Source organism: Homo sapiens, chromosome 7, assembly GCF_000001405.40.
Source record: "Homo sapiens chromosome 7, GRCh38.p14 Primary Assembly".
Classification (NCBI taxonomy): domain Eukaryota; kingdom Metazoa; phylum Chordata; class Mammalia; order Primates; family Hominidae; genus Homo; species Homo sapiens.
The window spans coordinates 18,994,213-19,014,557 of record NC_000007.14 but is presented as its reverse complement, the minus strand read 5'-3'; the positions used below and the strand labels follow the sequence as shown (position 1 = coordinate 19,014,557).

The 20,345-nt window shown below is 35.0% G+C and overlaps 1 protein-coding gene across 5 annotated transcripts in view; it reads right to left on the bottom strand.

Moving 5' to 3' along the window:
- Positions 12,142-20,345, bottom strand: part of HDAC9 (histone deacetylase 9) — a 915,592-nt gene continuing 907,388 nt past the window's right edge. For all 5 annotated transcript variants that reach the window (NM_001321868.2, NM_178425.4, NM_001321877.2 and 2 more), the window contains one exon: positions 12,142-18,535. In NM_001321868.2, coding sequence (NP_001308797.1) covers positions 18,496-18,535 — 40 coding nt within the window. In that variant the 3' untranslated portion in view covers positions 12,142-18,495. The remainder of the gene's footprint in view (positions 18,536-20,345) is intronic.

Genomic DNA, 20,345 nt, shown 5'->3' with positions numbered 1-20,345 from the left:
CAGTGTTTCAGGATACAAATTAAATGTACCAATATTAGTAGCATTCAAGATGGGAACCAAATCAAGAATGCAATCTCATTTACAATAGCCACAAGAAAATAAAATAAAATAAAATACATCTAACCAAGAAGATGAAAGATCTCTGCAAGGAGAACCACAAAACATTGCTGAAAGAAATCACAGATGACACTAACAAATAGAAAATCATTACATGCCCATGGGTTGGAAGAATCAATATAATTAAAATGGTCATACTGCTCAATGTACTCTACAAATTCAGTGCAGTATTCCTATCAAAATACCAAGGACTTTTTTCATAGAAGTAGAAAAAATATTCTAAAATTCAAATGGAACCATAAAAGAACTAGAATTGTCCAAGCAATCCTAAGCAAAAAGAACCAAGTCAGAGGCATCACATTACCTGACTTCAAACTATACCATAAGGCCACAGTAACCAAAACAGCATAGTACTGGTGCAAAACAGACACATAGACCAGTGAAACATAACAGAGAACCCAGAAATAAAGCTTCACTCCTACAGCCATCTGATCTTCCACAAAGTCAACAAAAATAAGCAATGGGGAAAGAACTTCCTATTCAATAAATGGTGCTGGGATAGCTGACTAACCATATGCAGAAGAATGAAACTAGACCCCTACCTTTGTCACCATATACAATAACTAATTCAAGATGGATTAAAGATTTAAATGTAAGACCTCAAACTATAAGAATCCTAGAAGAAAGCCTCAGAAACATCATTCTGAACATAGACCTTGGGAAAAAAATTATCCATGAAAAGCAATTGCAACAAAAACAAAAATTGACAAGTGGGACCTAATTAAACTGAAGAGCCTTTACACAGCAAAAGAAACTATCAACAGAGTAAACAGACAACCTACAGAATGGGAGAAAATATTCACAAACTGTAAATCCAGCAAAGGTCTAACATCCAGAATCTACAGAAACTAAAGCAGCTGAACAAGCAAAAAACAAGTGATCCCATTTTTAAAAACAGGCCAAAGATATGAACAAACACTTCTCAAAAGAAGACATACATGTGGCCAACAAACATGAAAAAAATGTTCCACATCACTAGTTATCAGTTAAATGCAAATCATAACTACGATGAGATGCCATCTCCTACCAGTCAGAACGGCTATTATTAAAAAGTCAAAAAAAACAAGAGCTGCTTAGTGAGGCTGCAGAGATGAGAATACTTATACACTGTAGGTGGGAATGTAAATTATTTCAGCCACTGTGGAAAGCAGCTCAGAGATTTCTGTTAATAAAAGAACTTTAGGTTCTAGATAACTTAATAAACAAAGTTACCATTCAACCCTGCCATCCTATTATTAGGTATATATCCAAAAGAAAACGAGTCATTCTACTGATAGACACAAGGACTCGCATATTCATCGCAGCACTATTTATTATACAATAACAAAGACGTGGAATCAATCTGGGTGCCCATCAAGGTGGATTGGATAAAGAAAATGTGGTACAGATACACCAGGGAATACTATGCAGACATACAAAAAGTAAAAATATATCGTTTGCATCAATGTGGATGCAGCTGGAGGTCATTATCCTAAGTCAGTTGGGTGAGGAACAGAAAATCAAATACCATATGTTTTCACTTTTTTTTTTTTTTTTTGAGACGAAGTCTCACCCTTCACCCCCAGGCTGGAGTGCAATGGCACAATCTCAGCTCACTGCAACCTCCGCCTCCTGGGTTCAAGTGATTCTCCTACCTCAGCCTCCCGAGTAGCTGGGATTACAGGCTCCTGCCACCATGGCCAGCTAATTTTTGTATTTTTAGTAGAGACAGGGTTTCACCATGTTGGCCAGGCTAGTCTTGAACTCCTGATCTCAAGTGATCCGCCCGCCTCGGCCTCCCAGAGTACTGGGATTACAGGCATGAGCCACTGTGCCCAGCCATGTTTTCACTTTTAAGTGGGAGCTAAACATTGGGTACTTATGGACATAAAGATGGCAACAATAGAAACTGTGGACTATGGTAAGGGAGAGAGGGAAAGGAGAGAAGGTTGGAACACTAATTATTCGGCACTATGCTTAATACCTGAGTGATGGAATCATTCATACTCCAAACCTCAGAATTACACAATATACCCATGTAATAAACCTGCATATGTACCCCTGATTTTAAAATGAAAATTTAAAAATAAATAAATAAATAATCTGAAAATGATGTAAAATTTTAAAAAAAAGAAAATTATTTTATTTCTACCTAGCAGCCTTGCATCACTTATTTCCTCTTTGATCCCTTTCATTTCTTATCTAGCATGCAGATTTACTGCTGAAAATGCTTTAAATCATATGAATTTATATGAAGTCTTTAATGTAGCAAAACTTTTAGCTGGGTCACCTAAAGAATAGGAATGAAAAAAGAGACCCTTAACTAAATGACCTTTAAATGAAAATCATACTCTATGATTACAATATTGTCTAAATCTTAAATTACATGTAAAATATCAAACAAAACACTTAAATAGCCAAAAAATCCACCCAATTTGTTTTACTGATTTTCTTTAGTCCTTGTCCCTGTTTCATTTATTTGTTTGTCTCTATTTCTTTTAGCCTTTTAAGCATATTTAAGACAGATGTCTTAAAGTCTTTGTCTAGGAACCCTGATGCATGTTTCTTTGGAGACTGTTTCTGGAGATTGATTTTGTTCCTTTACACTGGCTATATTTCCCTGTTTCTTTGTATGACTTGTGAGTTTTTGTTGACTATTGGACATTTCATCAAATAGCCGCTTTCTCCAGTCTTTAAAATTGGCATGGAAGTCTTTTACTGATTAACAGGACCCTGAACCTTGAGGTTAGCCCAAGGTAGTCTTATCAGGTCTTTGGCAGCATGCATTTGTTTGGGTCTATATGTGTGCTTTTTAAAATTTTTTCCCCTGAATTCTCCTGGCTGCTTTTAAGTGTCTTAATTTCCCAAAGAGTCTTAACTCCAGCTTCTTCTTGGGGCCTTAGATGCTCTATTATATTCCTTTGCCCATAATCAATCATTTGCCCCGGGTGGGTACAAGTGTGTAGTCTTCCTGCAGTTTTCACATGTCATTGTCCATCACTATCATCCACGGCTTCTAGCCTCAGATCTAAACTATGCTACCATTTCCTGTCTGTGCCGTGAGACAGATACCAGTCCCTGAGCAACCCACAGACAGGACCGAACTACTTTGCCAACAATTTACTCTGCTGTTTCTGGCCTGAGGTAGAGAACCAGACATTGTGCCATACCGTAGACCGAATGTTTGTCCCTCTTCAATTCATACCTTGAAGCCTTAACCCTCGATGTCATAGTATTAGGAGTTAGGGCATTTGGTAGATAATTAGGTTTAGATCTGGTCATCAGATCAAAGCCCCCATGATGTGATTAGTGCCCCTATAAGAAGAGAAATAAATGCCATAGCTTCCTGTCTCCACCATGTGAGGATACAGCAAGAAGGCAGATATTTGCAATCCAGGAAGATGGCCCTCACCCTAACCTGCCCATGCTGGAGACTTATTCTCTGATTTTCCTGCCTCCAGTACTGTGATAAATAAATGTCAGTTGCTTATGTCACCCAATTTATGAAATTTTGTTACAGCGGCCAAGTAGATTAAGATAGGCCGCTTCCTCCTGATCCCAGTGCAAAGAGTGAGGCAAAGATGGATGAAAAAAACTTGAAATTTCCTACCATTTGAATATGGCTTTTTCTTTATTGGGTATTTACTTGGTTAATGTAGATCTTTAACTAGTTTCCAGAGTGTGCATAAAGTTATTTTTATCAGCATTTCGTTGTTAACCTGGTATTTCTGTAAGGGAACAAGATCCTGGGGCACCCTATTCCACCATCTTGCTGATGGTACTTTCCTTTATAATTTAGAATGTTTACTTTAATAAATGGTGAGTAATATACCATGAATCCAGGTATGCTGCATCAATGTTAGAATATTTCCTTTACCTAGGAGTTTTGAAAGTTGGCCAAGGCCAGACGTGGTGGCTCATGCCTGTAATCCCAGCACTTTGGGAGGCCGAGGTGGAGTTCAAGAGGTCAAGAATTCAAGAGCAGCCTGGCCAAGATGGTGAAACCCCATCTTTACTAAAAATAGAAAAAAATTAGCCAGGTATGGTAGCGTGCACCTGTAATCCCAGCTACTTGGGAGGCTGAGGCAGAGAATTGCTTGAACCCGGGAGGCAGAGGTTGCAGTGAGCTGAGATTGTGCCACTGCACTCCAGCCTGGCGACGTGTCGAGCAAGACTCCATCTCAAAAAAAAAAAAAAAGTTGGCCAAATATTTACTTAACATATTTAATATTTCAATATCATAATTTGTATTTGTATAAAAATGCTTAGTTTCTAGAAATTCATTAATATGATTCCATAGTTCACTATGTGCACTGTAAAATATTCTGAAGTATACATGATAAATAGCCAAGTTTCATGCCTAAGTACACACACTGTACATATATACAGAGACATTCCTGAGCAATTACAAAATATGGTTTCATAACAAACACTGTGTTTTTTCATATATAACAAATGCATTATTTTCTTCTGCCCAAAATGCAAATTTGCAAATTGCATCCAGGAACTCATCAAATCTGCTAGATGAATTATGTAATTCAATTTGGCAAAATTTTTGCACACAGCACAAATAGTTTACTTTGGTTTTCTTGGATTCTGTTCTGAGAAGGAGGTAGCTGGAAAAAAAGTGAAAAATTACAGGATATGATTCATAAAAATCCCACATCTTTTTTGTGTGCTTGTACATTCTTTTTTGCGGGAAAATGTTTTTGTCCCACAGTAATGGCTCCTCATCCTTCTCAATGAGTACTTTTTAGTCAGAAAGATAGCCACACACAATATTTCCAAGATACTCAAAAAAAAGTAGTCATAAGGAGAAGACGCATGTCATTTAGCAGCTAAAAGAAACATGTAGCATGTTCATTAAATCTCTTTTTCACCAGAAAGGAATGTGAAGACTGAACTTTAACATGGCCACAGTACGTACAAAGAAATGAAACCTCAGCTATGTATGTTCCTGCCAAGCATTAGCTCAAATCTTTCACTCTTCAACATGTAACGAGTATCTGTTTTCCTGTCATGTTTTGACAGTGAAGAAAATGAACCTCATTTCTAAGGTTCAGACAAGTGGCACTCACTACTATTCCCTTCTCTTTTTATTTGATGCGAACAATAAGATTAAACACATACCACCAAAGAAAGGACTACCAGCACCCATTGTCAGAGACAGTTTTCAGTGGGTGCATTAAACATCAAATCTCTGCAGATGATCTATGTGTTTCTAATTTGTAATTTCTCTCCGGAAGCAGCCTGCAAACTTTTTAATCATTTTCAGTTTGTCAAAAACTGTTAAGGCACTGGCTGCCCATTATCCACAATGAGGAGCTCTTTCAAGTAATGGAATGACTAGCAGTTTCAGAAGCTAAAGTGTCAATTTTATACATATGAAGAATTCGCAAAATAACAGAGCTAAAGAGAACCCTAGAGATGTCCTTTCATGGCTGGAGACTGAGGCCACTTCCAATTCTCATCAATGTGAAAGACCAGGTAAACTGCAACACCCCTGCCATAAGGTTCAAGAGATGCTGAGTGGAATATTCTTTTAAATGCATAGCTAAATTCAGTGCTAGAAATACCAGGAAGGAAGAAGGCACTGAAAAAGAAAGTGGCACGTGGGAGAGCTGATGGTGTCATTGGCTTGGGATGGGGTTGTGGAGTATAAGTTGCCAGTATAAGTAACCCAAGGGTTTATGTTTTAATACCTGCATAAAGACAGAAGATGAACTCTTGGACTTCTTGAGACAGATAATTGAAAATGAGAAGCTCATCCTATCACAGGCATTCACAATTGATCAGGAACCTTGAAAGGCTGCTCCCAGGTGGGAGAGTAGAATGAAAAAATGTCTTCCCACTGATGACAGAATGATGAGGAAGTTGGTTGTTTCTTTGTGCAGACTAGGTGGGTATAAAAAGTTTCTTCTGAGATTGTTAAGCCTGGACATAGATTTTTAAATTTAAATTTATATTAGTCATATGGCCAAATAATCCATAAGCAAAATAGTAGTAATAAGCATTAAAGGGGTCCTAGGTAGTAAAACTACTGAAATGCCTGTCAGAAGGAAATAAAAAACTACCTGAGAGGGATATGTCTTCAATCCAGATAACATGTAATTCTCACAGATAAAAGCCCTACCAAAAATTAGCTCATGATAAAATAGTTTTAGAGGAGTAACCAAATTAATGTAAGCAAGTACTTAAGTATGAGATCACAGAGAACTCTGATAGAGACTATAAACTAAATGTGTAGAAAATTATTAAAATATAAAGTAAGAAATCTAAGCAATAAAGAAATAAGACTAGAATAGTGGAATATTTAAAAATTAAGTACGTCTTTAAAAATGAATAATGTTTTTGAAAGTTAAAATTTATAGTATAAAAATGCATAAAATTAGATCTGCAGTTTTAGAGGAAATTATTCAAAGACAGCATAAAGAAACAATGCAGTGGAAAATGTAAAAGACAAGTTGAATGACATAAAGTATAGAATAAGGCTTATCAGTATATATCTAACAAGAGTTCTATCTAACAAGAATTAGGAAAAAATGGAATAGAAGACTAGGGGAGCTATTATCAATCATAGATAACTTAGAATTTTCCGGAATACAGGAAATAATGGAATTTTTACATTTAGGAAACACAGTCAGTCCCTTGCAGCTTACACACACATACACACACACACAATCACACTTGCTCACAGAGAGGATCTTAAAATGCCAAAAGAAAAAAGATTATTTTCAAAGGAACAATTATTAAGCAATTACAGACACCTTGGCAGTGAAAGTAGAGGCAAGAATACAATAAAATGATGTTATCACAGTGCTGAGAAAAAGATAATTGGCGATCTAGAATTCTATACCCAGCCACGATCATTCAAGAGTGAGGCCAAAAAATAAAAAATAAATTCATCTCAGACAGGCAAGCTAGAAGAAAGTTAATCACTCCCATCCTGAAAGAAGAAAGAAATGAAGTGTGAGGCATAACCAAAATTATTGAGCAAAGATATTAGCAATAATTATTGACAACCTTTGTATTATAACTGGATTTATATAAATAGTCATACACATGTATCAATAATTGCTCTAAATAAAATCAAGGTTTAAAAATAAAGTGAAACTAAATGCTAGGCAATAATGATATGTAGGATAAAATAGAATATGTAGGACTCAATACAGTTTTTGGTCCTTGTTTTCTGCAAGTGGAGAGTAGACGTGTAGTTAAGAGAAATGACTTTTAAGTCAATTCTGCATTTGACTAGTTTGAGTAAAATAATAGACATATAATGTATATTTTTAAATAATAAAAGTTGGATGTATAACTTTCAAATCATTAAATAGGAAATAATAAAGAAATGAAGGCTATGAGAAGGTAATGAACTTGCCAAATGTCACAAGCAGGGTTGTTGCAGAAATAGGGCTGGAAACTAAAAGTCTGGATTCCCAGGCCTTCATTCTCTTTTCTGGAAATACTCTGGGAATACATCTACTAAACTTGAATATTGTTAAGAGTATAAACAAGATTTGTACATTTATCTGCTTTTAAAATTGTTTCTTTTTTTTGAGATGGAGTTTCTTTTTATTATCATTATTATTATACTTTAAGTTTTAGGGTACATGTGCACAATGTGCAGGTTAGTTACATATGTATACATGTGCCATGCTGGTGTGCTGCACCCATTAACTCGTCATTTAACATTAGGTGTATCTCCTAATGCTATCCCTCCCCCTTCCCCCACCCCACAACAGGCCCCAGAGTGTGATGTTCCCCTTCCTGTGTCCATGTGTTCTCATTGTTCAATTCCCATCTATGAGTGACAACATGCGGTGTTTGGTTTTTTGTCCTTGCGATAGTTTACTGAGAATGATGATTTCCAATTTCATCCATGTCCCTACAAAGGACAGGAACCCATCATTTTTTATGGCTGCATAGTATTCCATGGTGTATATGTGCCACATTTTCTTAATCCAGTCTATCATTGTTGGACATTTGAGTTGGTTCCAAGTCTTTGCTATTGTGAATAATGCCACAATAAACATACGTGTGCACGTGCCTTTATAGCAGCATGATTTATAGTCCTTTGGGTATATACCCAGTAATGGGATGGCTGGGTCAAATGGTATTTCTAGTTCTAGATCCCTGAGGAATCGCCACACTGACTTCCACAATGGTTGAACTAGTTTACAGTCCCACCAACAGTGTAAAAGTGTTCCTATTTCTCCACATCCTCTCCAGCACGTGTTGTTTCCTGACTTTTTAATGATCGCCAGTCTAACTGATGTGAGATGGTATCTCATTGTGGTTTTGATTTGCATTTCTCTGATGGCCAGTGATGATGAGCATTTTTTCATGTGTCTTTTGGCTGCATAAATGTCTTCTTTTGAGAAGTGTCTGTTCATATCCTTCACCCACTTTTTGATGGGGTTGTTTGTTTTTTTCTTGTAAATTTGTTTGAGTTCATTGTAGATTCTGGATATTAGCCCTTTGTCAGATGAGTAGGTTGTGAAAATTTTCTCCCATTTTGTAGGTTGCCTGTTCACTCTGATGGTAGTTTCTTTTGCTGTGCAGAAGCTCTTTAGTTTAATTAGATCCCATTTGTCAATTTTGGCTTTTGTTGCCATTGCTTTTGGTGGTTTAGACATGAAGTCCTTGCCCATGCCTATGTCCTGAATGGTAATGCCTAGGTTTAGAGATGGAGTTTCACTCTTGTTGCCCAGGCTCGAGTGCAATGGCATGATCTTGGCTCACTGCAACCTCTGCCTCCCGGTTTCAAGCAATTCTCCTGCCTCAGCCTCCCAAGGAGCTGGGATTACAGGCATGCACCACCACGCCCGGCTAATTTTTTGTATTTTTAGTAAAGATGGGGTTTCTCCATATTGGTCAGGCTGTTCTCGAACTCCTGACCTGGTGATCCACCCACCTTGGCCTCCCAAAGTGCTGGGATTACAGGTGCAAGCCACTGTGCCTGGCCAAAATTGTTTCTTAAAGTTGTAAACATCTGACTTGGTTTGATCTCAACACCAAGGACACTGATTTTTTAACACAGATTATTATATGGGGCACCATATACTTTTCCATCCACTTTCCATTGAGCTTAAAAGAAGTGGTGACAAGAAATGACTACTTTATAGCCTGTAGCCATCCTTTATAAATATGTACTAATTGCAAAGCAGTGTTTTTGGTTGTTTGGGACTTCTGAGCTAAATTTAATAGTCTAGTGGGAGAAAGGGCACTCTATGTAACCATGAAAAAGAAGTCAGAATGTATCTGGTTAAATACAGGCTGGATTTTAAAATAGGAAAACTAAAACTTCAAAATGGTAGCACAGCATTAATGGCCCAGAGAACACCTCTAAGTACAATCTGCCTGATTGAGGGTGTTACAGTCTGTCAGGATTTGGGGTCCGATGAAACAATTAAAAAAACTGCTTATTAAGATCAGTGTTTGAAAAGTAAAAGAGTTTGGAAATTATGCTTTATTAAGGGGCAATGGAGTAAAGCCAAAATGGTTATTAACAAATTTGACTGTTGGGGACGTGTCTCTCCAGAAATTATAATCAACTAATTTTTTTAAAACAAAATAATGGGAGAAAAGCAAATGACTGGAATTTAGAAAGCAATTTCTAAGGTTTTTTTTTTTTTTTAAGGATTTCTACAAAATTAATCTCCTGTCTTTATACATCTTAACATTACATGCTTTTAAATTGAATGTTGATCTGGTAGACCTTAGGGATGAAAGGGACTTGAACAGATACTCTTATCATATCTACTTTCTTGATAGGGCTGTGCCCAAATCTTTCCATGAATATAATTATATGTAATTTAGACCACACATATTTCTTAAATCTATTGTATCTCTGCGTCTATATTATAATTCTATGAAGAAAAAAGAGAAGTCATATTTTTTAGAAAGTCTTAGTGTCACACAATTCTAAAGCCAAACCTATTTTGTGGTAATATTTCTTTTGTAGTTATATCAGATGGAGATTTAATGAAATTTTCATTTCCTTTATATGTATTGCCAATTTTCTTGCTATTTTTCATGCTATTCTGAGAACAAGTACTGAATACTTGTGACATATTGTAGGCCGTCAGTGAATGTTGATTACATTGTATGCACTAATTGGTTAGCAGTAAATAAGATGAGCTTTGTTCTGGTATTTATATTGTAATTTACTCATCATTAAATTACCCCTCTCATGGGTTTGTTGTGAGATTTAAATAAGAGCACAGGGTAAGTGGTAAATAGCTATTAATATTTTTATTTTTAGAATAAATAAGACAACCAAAACAAAACCTGTTTAACAAAGGAGAAAAAATAAAAATTGTGCACTAAAAATACACATTCTTAAAAGAAACCACCTCATTTTACATGGATGTAAAGTCTTCACATTTGGTTAAGAATAAATCTTCATAAATACATAATTTATTAAAAGATTTACTTTTTAGTATACCATTAAATTGATTCACTTTATCACATCTTAAGTTTTTAAACCTTACTTTTTTGGAAAAAAATATTTTTTAGGAAAAAATATATATGGGATTATATTATATTTTAAATGTATAAGCTTTCATTATGGAGTTAATACCTTTTCTAGATACACTAAGACCTTTAAATTTGATTTGATCTGAGGTGAATGCAATCTTTTAAAAAATCCTCTTATTTCTCCAGTTTTTTTTTAAAGATTACAGAAGGAATTCATTCATCTTTTCATCTATTTTCCTGAATCTTACTTTGCTTTTCGTAGGACATTTGAAAGAACAGCTGTCAGTCTTTTCCAAAGTAATTATTAGGACATGTGGGGAATTATCTATTTATGGTCAACCTGGAAGACCATAGGAATTTGTATAGCCTATTGATATTACAAATTTGAGGGGTAATTACAATATTTGGAAATATTTTGGGTTCAATAACCCTAAAGCACCACAAAAGTGTTAAGTAGTGAAAGATATTCTTTAGGCTTCCTTTTTCAACTACAAACTACTCTTTTAAAATAACAATATGACATTCATTCTTAATTTTTAAACATAGGCTCCACTTTTTCAACTGTTCGCTTTTTACCATGGAAACTTAAATGAAACAAAGAACCACAAAGTAACATTTGCCATTTGACAAATCTGATTAAATCAAAGGTGTTTACCATTGAAACTCAGTCTACCCACCCACTCCATCTCATTTACCTTTTGTTAGACAAAATATTACTATCTTTTCCCAGAAGGAACCCAAACCATTGTCCATTAGAAACAGTTATATTTTAGAATGTTAAACATTGCAGGGGGTTATAAAATACAAAAATAAGTATTGGTCTTGGAATATTTAAACAGTTTTTGGAGTATGTGCTCTAAAGATATCTTAGGGTTCTTGGCTAGATTAGAGAAAGTTGTTGATATAGGAATAGAAACAACCATTTTTAAACTTGTACTTACTGTACAAATCTAGCCACAATTACCAGATCGATTTAAATAACTTAATAAAACTTAGCAAAGACTGAGCATACAGTCTGTTCTGAAGGTTAATCATAGTTTTTTAGTCAAAGAATATCTTTAGTATGCCATCTTTGATGTGTCATATATACATTTGGAGAGGATAGACTTCAAAGATAGATACATGCAGATAAGGGTCAAATCCCGTCTGTCACTGTAACAGTGCGTTAACCTTTTCAGTGCTTGATGTTCTCATCTCTAAATGAGACTAATAACACCTATGAGGCAGGGTTCGTGTGATGGTTAAATATCATTCAGGTACAGTGTTCAGCAGAGTGACAGGCACATGGAAGGTACTTAATCAGTGGTAGTTATTATTGTTCTTTATTCTAACCATCAAGCTACAATCAAATAGCAACTGTGTTTTAATTTACTTCTTCTTTTGTGAATTTTCACATTATTTTAAGGGAGATTTACTCACAAGTAAATCTTTTTTTTTGAAAATGGAATAGTACATTTTGTGGTAATTCATATTTCATAATATTGTATTTATCCAACAAATATTCGTCAAATATCTGCTATCCAGAGTCTAATGGTAGGCACCAAGGACATAGAAAAATAAGAACACTTTTATTTCAAATAGCTTTTTATTCACATAGGACTAGAGGAAAATCTAATTCAGTAGAAAACACAAAACAAAAGGGGTTATTTTATTCTATTCAAAGGAGAGTCATGACATTAACAACACCAACAATAATTTGGAACACACCATTGCATTTTCAAATACAAAAAAGGAATCAGAAGAAGGTGGACATTCCATGAGCATGTTCAACAATGGTATTGTTATTAGATATTAATCCTTTATTAGATTATTATTTTTCACATCTGGGAAAATACCACTGGCAGCACAATTTTAAGAAAAGTTTGGCAACATGTATTTTTCTCAGCAGCTCTGGATGACAGATCTTGGTGATGCTAGCCAAAAAAAATTAAGGGCAAAACCACTGGTGCACAGAGGACAACAAACTGATCTTATTACAGAAACGGATATCAGACCACAATAGAAAAGACATTTTTATTTTACACTAAGCCAAAAATTCTAGGCTATTGGCATACATATCAACAAGCCTGGTCTAGAATGTTTAATCACAAAAGTACTAAATATTGGTTTCCTGCCTGCCCTGCTCACCTTATTTAAAAATATCAGGATATTTGCTTTCAAATGACACAGATTGCTGAGGCTGTAACCTACAAAATGGTCACTCATTTTTAACGGCTTGTTTGTTATACCTAGAAACCACTGAAAGGACAATTTCCTATATCATAGTTACTGTGGAGGTAGACACTGACGTTGCTTCCCCAGAAAGAATTTGAGACTATTAAAGTGTAGGAAGAACAAATCGGGAGTTTTATCTAAAAACAACCCTTACATACCCAAGGAAGTGCCATTCCACTTCAGATTTTGCAATTCTTCTCTGTTTTTTGTTTTTTTTTTTAATTACTCCATTTCTGTTGAATTTTAAGTTAATAAAACCAATAGCCAAATATTGCTGCAAGATCTCTATGAATTGTCACAAAATGCCAACTCCAAGAAGGGGCATCACAATGAAGGATTAAGGACATGACCACAATGTCCCAGGAAACAGTGAACTCTCCCTATTATATTTAATATTGCAACATTTGCTTCTATTGTGCCTAAGGCCCAAACAAAAAAATAAAACGATTCCAATTTGCTTTAAAAAGTCTGGAAATCTCTTCCTTTCAAAACATACTGATTTAAAGTTTCTCCTTTTCCAGTTTTCTTTCAGGTGAGAGTTCATGCTTGTGGGTTTGACTCAAAGACATCTCCCAAAGGACAAGGAAATGTATGTACAATTTTCTTTCCACAATAACTAGTACAACATGATTAGGTAGTAGCCAGATGATGGCAAACTATGTTTGAAACAAAAAGAATAATTCTGCATTAGTAAAACAAACTGCCAAGTCCAAAATTGTAGACCAAAATACAATAACTAAATCTATCTTTTAAGAATATTTGAAAAAGTCAAGTGACTCTTGAAAAGAGAAGAGATAAAAAACAAAAGACAGAGTATCTATCAAAATGTTTATATAAAATGGCATGAAAGACAGTAGGCCTAGTGGTATCTCAGAAAATAAGTTGTCAAGGTCATTTCTACTAAGGAAACAGAGATTTCAGAAACTTTTGATTGCTTAGATATTGGCAATTTCGTATAGATTGTTAGGCAGAAAAAGAGAAGAGTTGAAAGAAAATTATTTGTTAGATTGTAAGTTTACACCAGATTCACCATGTATTTGCTAAATGTTTCAGTTTGAGAATTAAGATGCTTTGAGAAATTGCAACAACCTTATTACCTTATCATTGGATCAAGTCCAAACAGCCCCAATCAAAAGTCTAAGGTTTCATTGTCTGACCTAGTTATTTCCAGCATAGTAATAACGGACTTAATTGTATTTAATGTATTTTACAAAACCATTATACGAAGCCAGGAATATCATAGATAAAACGGACTGCAGTTGATTTGGAGAAACTAAGTTATGTAGTATGAGTATAGCATGTGTGAGTATACCACGTTCACTTACAAATGTCATCCTCTGGTCACTTGACAATCATGCTCTGCTTCATGAAGCGTTTCATGGAGTAAAAGCAAGCAAGGAGGCAAGGACTGTGATTTTTGATGCAAATATGCCCAGAAAAAGTCACATATAGGAACTTACATATTTAATGGTGGTGTTGATGAAGGTGACAAGATACATTATAATACTTTATTCCAAAGGCAGCACATGGTACAAAATCCTGCTGGAGACTGTACTACAATAGTGGCCTTTGGAAACAAGAAATTTGATGATGATCATGACCATGTTGATCAGTTCTGAAGACAACAAAATGCCTTCACTTCTTAGCATAGACCATCTGGTTTTCATTTCTTTTGAAAGTGAAAACGCCATCTTTATGAAAATAGTTCAACAGGTGTGTTGTTTTTTACTTCTATCTTGTTTTCCCCTTATTTTCTCAGCAGGACAAGTGATTTCATTCCTGAAGCAGGAAAAGAATGTTAAGATACATGCCACTAGAAATGACAATGTCAAACACTGACAGAGTCGTTTCAAGCTCAGAATGAATCACTTTTAAGACAGTACAGTTTGGCTTGTTTCTTTTGGGGCCATAAGACTTTTAATACTTCTTTCATTGAGATAAGATGAGAGTAAACATTCGACAGAGAAATAGTAAGAAATATTTAAATTAATTCTTCTAAACATAAATGCTGGGATTAAAACAATAAGTTTGGCCGGGTGCAGTGGCTCACACCTGTAATTTCAGCACTTTGGGAGGCCGAGGCGGGCGGATCACCTGAGGTCGGGAGTTTGAGACCAGCCTGACCAACATGGAGAAACCCCGTCTCTACTAAAAATACAAAAATTAGCCAGACGTGGTGGCGCATGCCCAGCTACTCGTCAGGAGAATTGCTTGAACCCGGGAGGCGGAGGTTGCAGTGAGTCGAGATTGCGCCATTGCACTCCAGCCTGGGCACCAAGAGCAAAACTCTGACTCAAAAATAAAAAAGTTTTAAAATGCTGATTGAAGAGGAATTTTTTCCCAGGAGACTTTCCAAATGATCATTCTATTTTACTTCCATATGGAGTCTGTAAAGAAACCCAGTAAATCCACGAGGCTTTATAATTGCCCTTTGGAAATAAAGCAGGACTAAACTATTAAGAGAGACCAGTCCTGTAATTTCTGAAGCCTTTGTGGGAGGAGATCCCTGCTTTCAAGGCCATGATGTTGTCAGTGAAAGGTTAGTGAGAGTGTCGTATAGGGCTGGAGTAAAAACTGAAGGCAATATTTCCATCCCCAGGATTGGTAATGGAAATGTGATTTGTAGTAGTTTTTTCATAAATATCTCTATTTTCTCCAAAGCTGACTTCTGTCTCCACTATTGATGTTATAAACTTGTTACAATATTTAAAGATAGTTCATCTCACAATGTTCTTTCCATTTACTAAGCAATGGTAACATAGCCTCTGGTTTTATTTGAGTCCATTTTGGTTACTATTTAATAAAACTGTCTGTGTTTTTTAGTTTAATATACAGCCCCAAATTATACAATTGGGAAAATTAATTTTTAAGCCTTCTTTTTATACCTACGTTTGACAGCTTATTAAATTCCTAGTATTATTTACTAGTAGATTTATCAAAAATCATTTTTATTCACCCTGTATGAGATACCATGAGACCATGAGAGAGCGTATGTGATTTTCCTTCAAAGTAAGTATCACAAGGAGATGCAAAATTGATAATACTCTTCTAGCCTCTCATTCAGAACAACTGCGAGCAATAAAATTTAAACGGGTAAGTGAAGAAAAACTATACCAAGTGAAACTACCCTTTCAAAAAGTGCTGGTCTATTTCAAAAGAAGTGTTGATATTTTCGGAAAGCCTCCATTCTGTCCCTCAGGGCTATGCTCCATCTTGTAATGGTATAATCAAAAAGCAATGGCATTCTGTTCTTACAACTACATGCTGTGGATAATCCTCTCCACAGTTCATTTGCTTCTCCAGGTATTTTAAAGACTCTAAGTGCAACCAATTGGGTATGGTGTCATATGGGAGTATGTGTGATTAACTCATTAATGTGTCAAGTTTTAAATCTAAATAACCATGGAGATGTCCTAGTGATTTGGCTTTATCAGATTAATGGCTTGGCATAAACATGTGGCTAAACTGTTGTAGGAAACTTTAGTAAATTAGCATGTTTGCATTACACTGTTTTATTTTCTTATTCAACAACTAAAAAAATATCTGGGAGGACTAAAAAGTAATGACAGAGATTTATAATTATGAAGTTGATTTTAAAACTACACAATTATTTTTCTAATTAAAACATGAGTTTCCTTTTTAAAATGGGGGAGAGTCTTTTGTTAAGCCTTTGGCTCTACTATTTTTTTAAGTAAATATCCTCAAGCAATCACTGCAAAATAACATAAGCTAGCAAATATGATTGGTATGAATTTCTCATGAAAATAAAATTTATAAAAAATTGATTACTACTATGAATCTAGACTGAATTTGCCCTTACGCAATGAAAGCAATTTTTACCTAATACTAAGTTACATTCCATTTCAGATTTCCTATTTCAAAGGGTGTCTCAAATTTCTAAGAAGTTAAACCAAGTATTGAGCCATTTTTGTATATGTAATAAAAGTCTTTAAAATTAAAATGGTAATCCTAAAAAAACCAAATGCATGAAAAATATGGTCTGACTGTATAACAAAGGGAGTTATATAATTCTACTTGAGTGAAATCTTTCATCTTTGATTTACAGGTTAGAGTCCTCTCTAACTAAAACCATATTGTTCCATATCTTTCATATCATGGCCTTCCCTAAAACCTTGTTTTAATTAAGGTTTCTTTCAGATTTCTGAATAAAAGCATGACAATCTTCACTTATGGCTTTAATATATCCTTTGAGTTAGAAAAATATATAAAAAGAAACATCAACTCTTTCAAAAGCATTGTCAGATATTAAATACTGTGAGATATTCTACCTCAATATGTTTAGGTGTTTGAGTTATATGTTGAAATCGAATTTTAGGAGGTAGGAGGATAACCTACTTATATTTAGTAAGTTACTTTTTATCTCAGAAATAAATGTCCTTTATTTTTAACTTTTGACACTAAGGAAACTTGTTTAAAGGCTGTTTTTTGTTTTTGTTTTTTTTTTTTTTCACAAGAAGGCACAGCTTCTAGGTTAAGTCAGTTCAAGGTGACTACAAATAAGCAGTGCCTTCATTAACACATTTCAAACACATAGAAATTTAGCAACGTTGCTTAAGTGATATTCATTTCAACGGCTTCACAGTTAATAAAATGCAATCAGACAAAACAACTGTGTTAACCTGTAAAGTAAACAAAATAAACTAAATAGTCAAGGCCCTCAAGTAATAAGAGGAGATTATGGGTAATCTTCAGTTTTTCTAAAGGAAGGAATGAATGATGAAAGGTAAGAAGAAATCAATTGATAGAGGGCAGAAAAGGAAAGGTGAGTGAATAAGTCCTTGATAGATATGCAACAAATTAAGACCACCTTTGAAAAGTTACGTGCTTTTCAAAGACACTGAAAATGCTTGGTGGAACATTTGCTCAGACCTACTGTCATGAGAACAAAGGATGTGTGTGTGGCTGGGAGGTGGGGGGACTTCATTCTCCAACACAATTGCAACATTGCAAATTGCCTGTGTGTGAGAACACAAAGATGTTGGGGATGTTTAAAAAAAAGTGATATAAAATATTGCACCATTACAAACAGTGTGTGAGGTTCCTTTGGCATTTGGACTTCGAGATACTGAAAAAAGCCTCATGCTAGTTCCTCCATCTTGAACTTTTACTAGGAACAGTTGAACTGTGTGTTAAAGTTGAGAAAAAAACCCTAACAAAACAAAACAAACAAACAAGAAACATTACATTCTGGGTGGAATTACGATCCGTTCATAGCTAAAAGCAAATCTTGTAAACAAGTTAAGACTGTTTGAAAAACAAATTACCCCAAAAAAAGCTGATCAGAATGTCAGGAATGACTATGTCTCAGGTTTTGCCCAAAATTTCACTGGCTGTCATAGCTTCTGAAATTAACAATATCTAGTGCTGTACTGAATGTTTCTAGTTCAAACTTGGTGTCTAGGAGTGGGTCACCCAGCATATTAAAAGCATGCTGGAAGCAGTTTCTTCCAATCGTGGTTTACTGTAACTCTAGAATCACAGCGGTTACGTTTAAGGAATCTTTAATGCCCTTTCAAGTCCATCCAAAGAACAAGTGAAGCTGCTGTTCAGAATTTTGTGCCCAGTGTTTATGTTCCATTGAATCTGTGCCACCCAGGCAGCAGACAAGACATGTCTGAGGGTACTGGGGTGGGGGGATACACAATGATGTCACACACAGGAAATATCAGAGGGGGACTTGGCACTTCACAAGGCTGGCTCCTCTTCCATAGGCTCACCAGCAGTTCTGTAAAAATAAACAGGCAATCAGAATACGGCATAAGAGTACACAATGACATTGTAGATTTTCATGCATAATCAAAGCTGATTTTTCAGCTCTCTCTGATGTTTATTTGTGTTATTCAGTTATCCATAAATAGAATTTCTTTCCTAGGAAGTATAAACAAATGTCAAGGGGAAAAACATTTTCGATCCAAGCAATCACTGGAAATGTTCCTGTTTATATTAAAACATGTCAGAATATTTTATAACTCTAGATTCCAAAATGTACATGTTTGGTGTCTAGTACAGTTCAATAATTTATTGAAAAAATTAACTATGATATTTTATTTTAGGAGCAACTGCAGTGATTTCCTATGGAACCAGTTTGCTAATGAGAGCAAAGGACCCAGCTAGCTTCTGGAGGAGACTCACTAGGGCTCTGGTTTTTGCTTCTGTTCTTTCATAACTGGATTGGCTGCCTGCCGGAGGCATTTCAAATCAAATTCTGAATTTGATTAGCAAATTGTTGCTACAGACCCAATATTTTTACAAGAAATGCACTATGGTAGTGTGTAAATAGTTTTTATTCGGCATCATCTGCAGGGTATTCTGCGCAGGCAAAACCAAAACTAATTGCTTGAAAATTTATACTTGAGATTTAACCTTAATTTAGTAACCCTTTCAGGGTGCTTTAAGGCAAACTTTTAGAATGACTTTTAATTTACTCAAAAGAATAAATTGTAGGAGGAATCCAAATACATGAGGTAGTTGGATTGTCATGGGAAGATTACTGGGATATGAGATGCCGGGTGAATTGAGTTTGCGTCTGAGCTCTGCCATTTGTTAATTTTGCAACTGCTGATTTAAATACGCTTTTGTGAAGCTCTGGTTTCAGGTGTAAACCATGAACAAAATGATGTTCCTTATAAAATTAGCAAAGGTTAAAAAATAAAGGAGGTAAAATTGACCTGTAAATAATAAACACTATGAGACATTACTTAATACTTTAGATTTGTCCCTTTGCTGTCTAACATGCATAAACTCATGTTGCCACACAAATGCAGAGTTATGCCTTTGCTACCAGAAGGAAAAAATATTTGGATGATGCTTCTCTCTAGGTAGCGGAATAATAGAGGGGTGGTTTTCATTTTCTTCTTCATAATGTTTACCTACTTGCCAGGATTCTATAATGAATTACTTTCATATTAGGAAAACATGCTATGTTTAAACCAGAGCTGTTTATGCAAACAAATGAAATGTTTGGCCATGTTATTTTACAGATTTATAAGAAAAAAAGCCAAGATTTCAATGCATCTCTAAAGGTGCTGACAAATAAAGTAGTAGCTTAGCATTTGTATAACAAATCTAAAACATTAAAAGAAAGATTTTAACCATAGGAGGGTAATCAAAAATTTTTAAAGCATCCTTTTAAAAATAAAGAATGATAATCATTAAGTCTTCATTATTTATTGTTACCAAAAAAGAAAATTCTAAAAGAGTCTGTGTGGAATATTTAAAAAGTTGCTTCTTAAGAAGTTATAGCCTGTCCTAGAGTGTCTGGGATAAGGAGGTTGTGAGAGAGAGTTTAGAGGTGGTACATAAGATAAATGAGTCATACTTCAGAAAAGTCTTTTCTATCAAAAATAATCAGCATTCAAAGAAGAAAGATTTTAAATTAAGGAAGACATTTAAGTTTTGAAACTAATTCATACATAAATATATAGCCTTATTTACATCTGAGAATATGTGAATAATACAGTTATAGAACTCAAACTGGATATTCTAATGGAGACCGATTTTTCCAATTTCTAACTCAAGCTGCAGCAGGATAATCT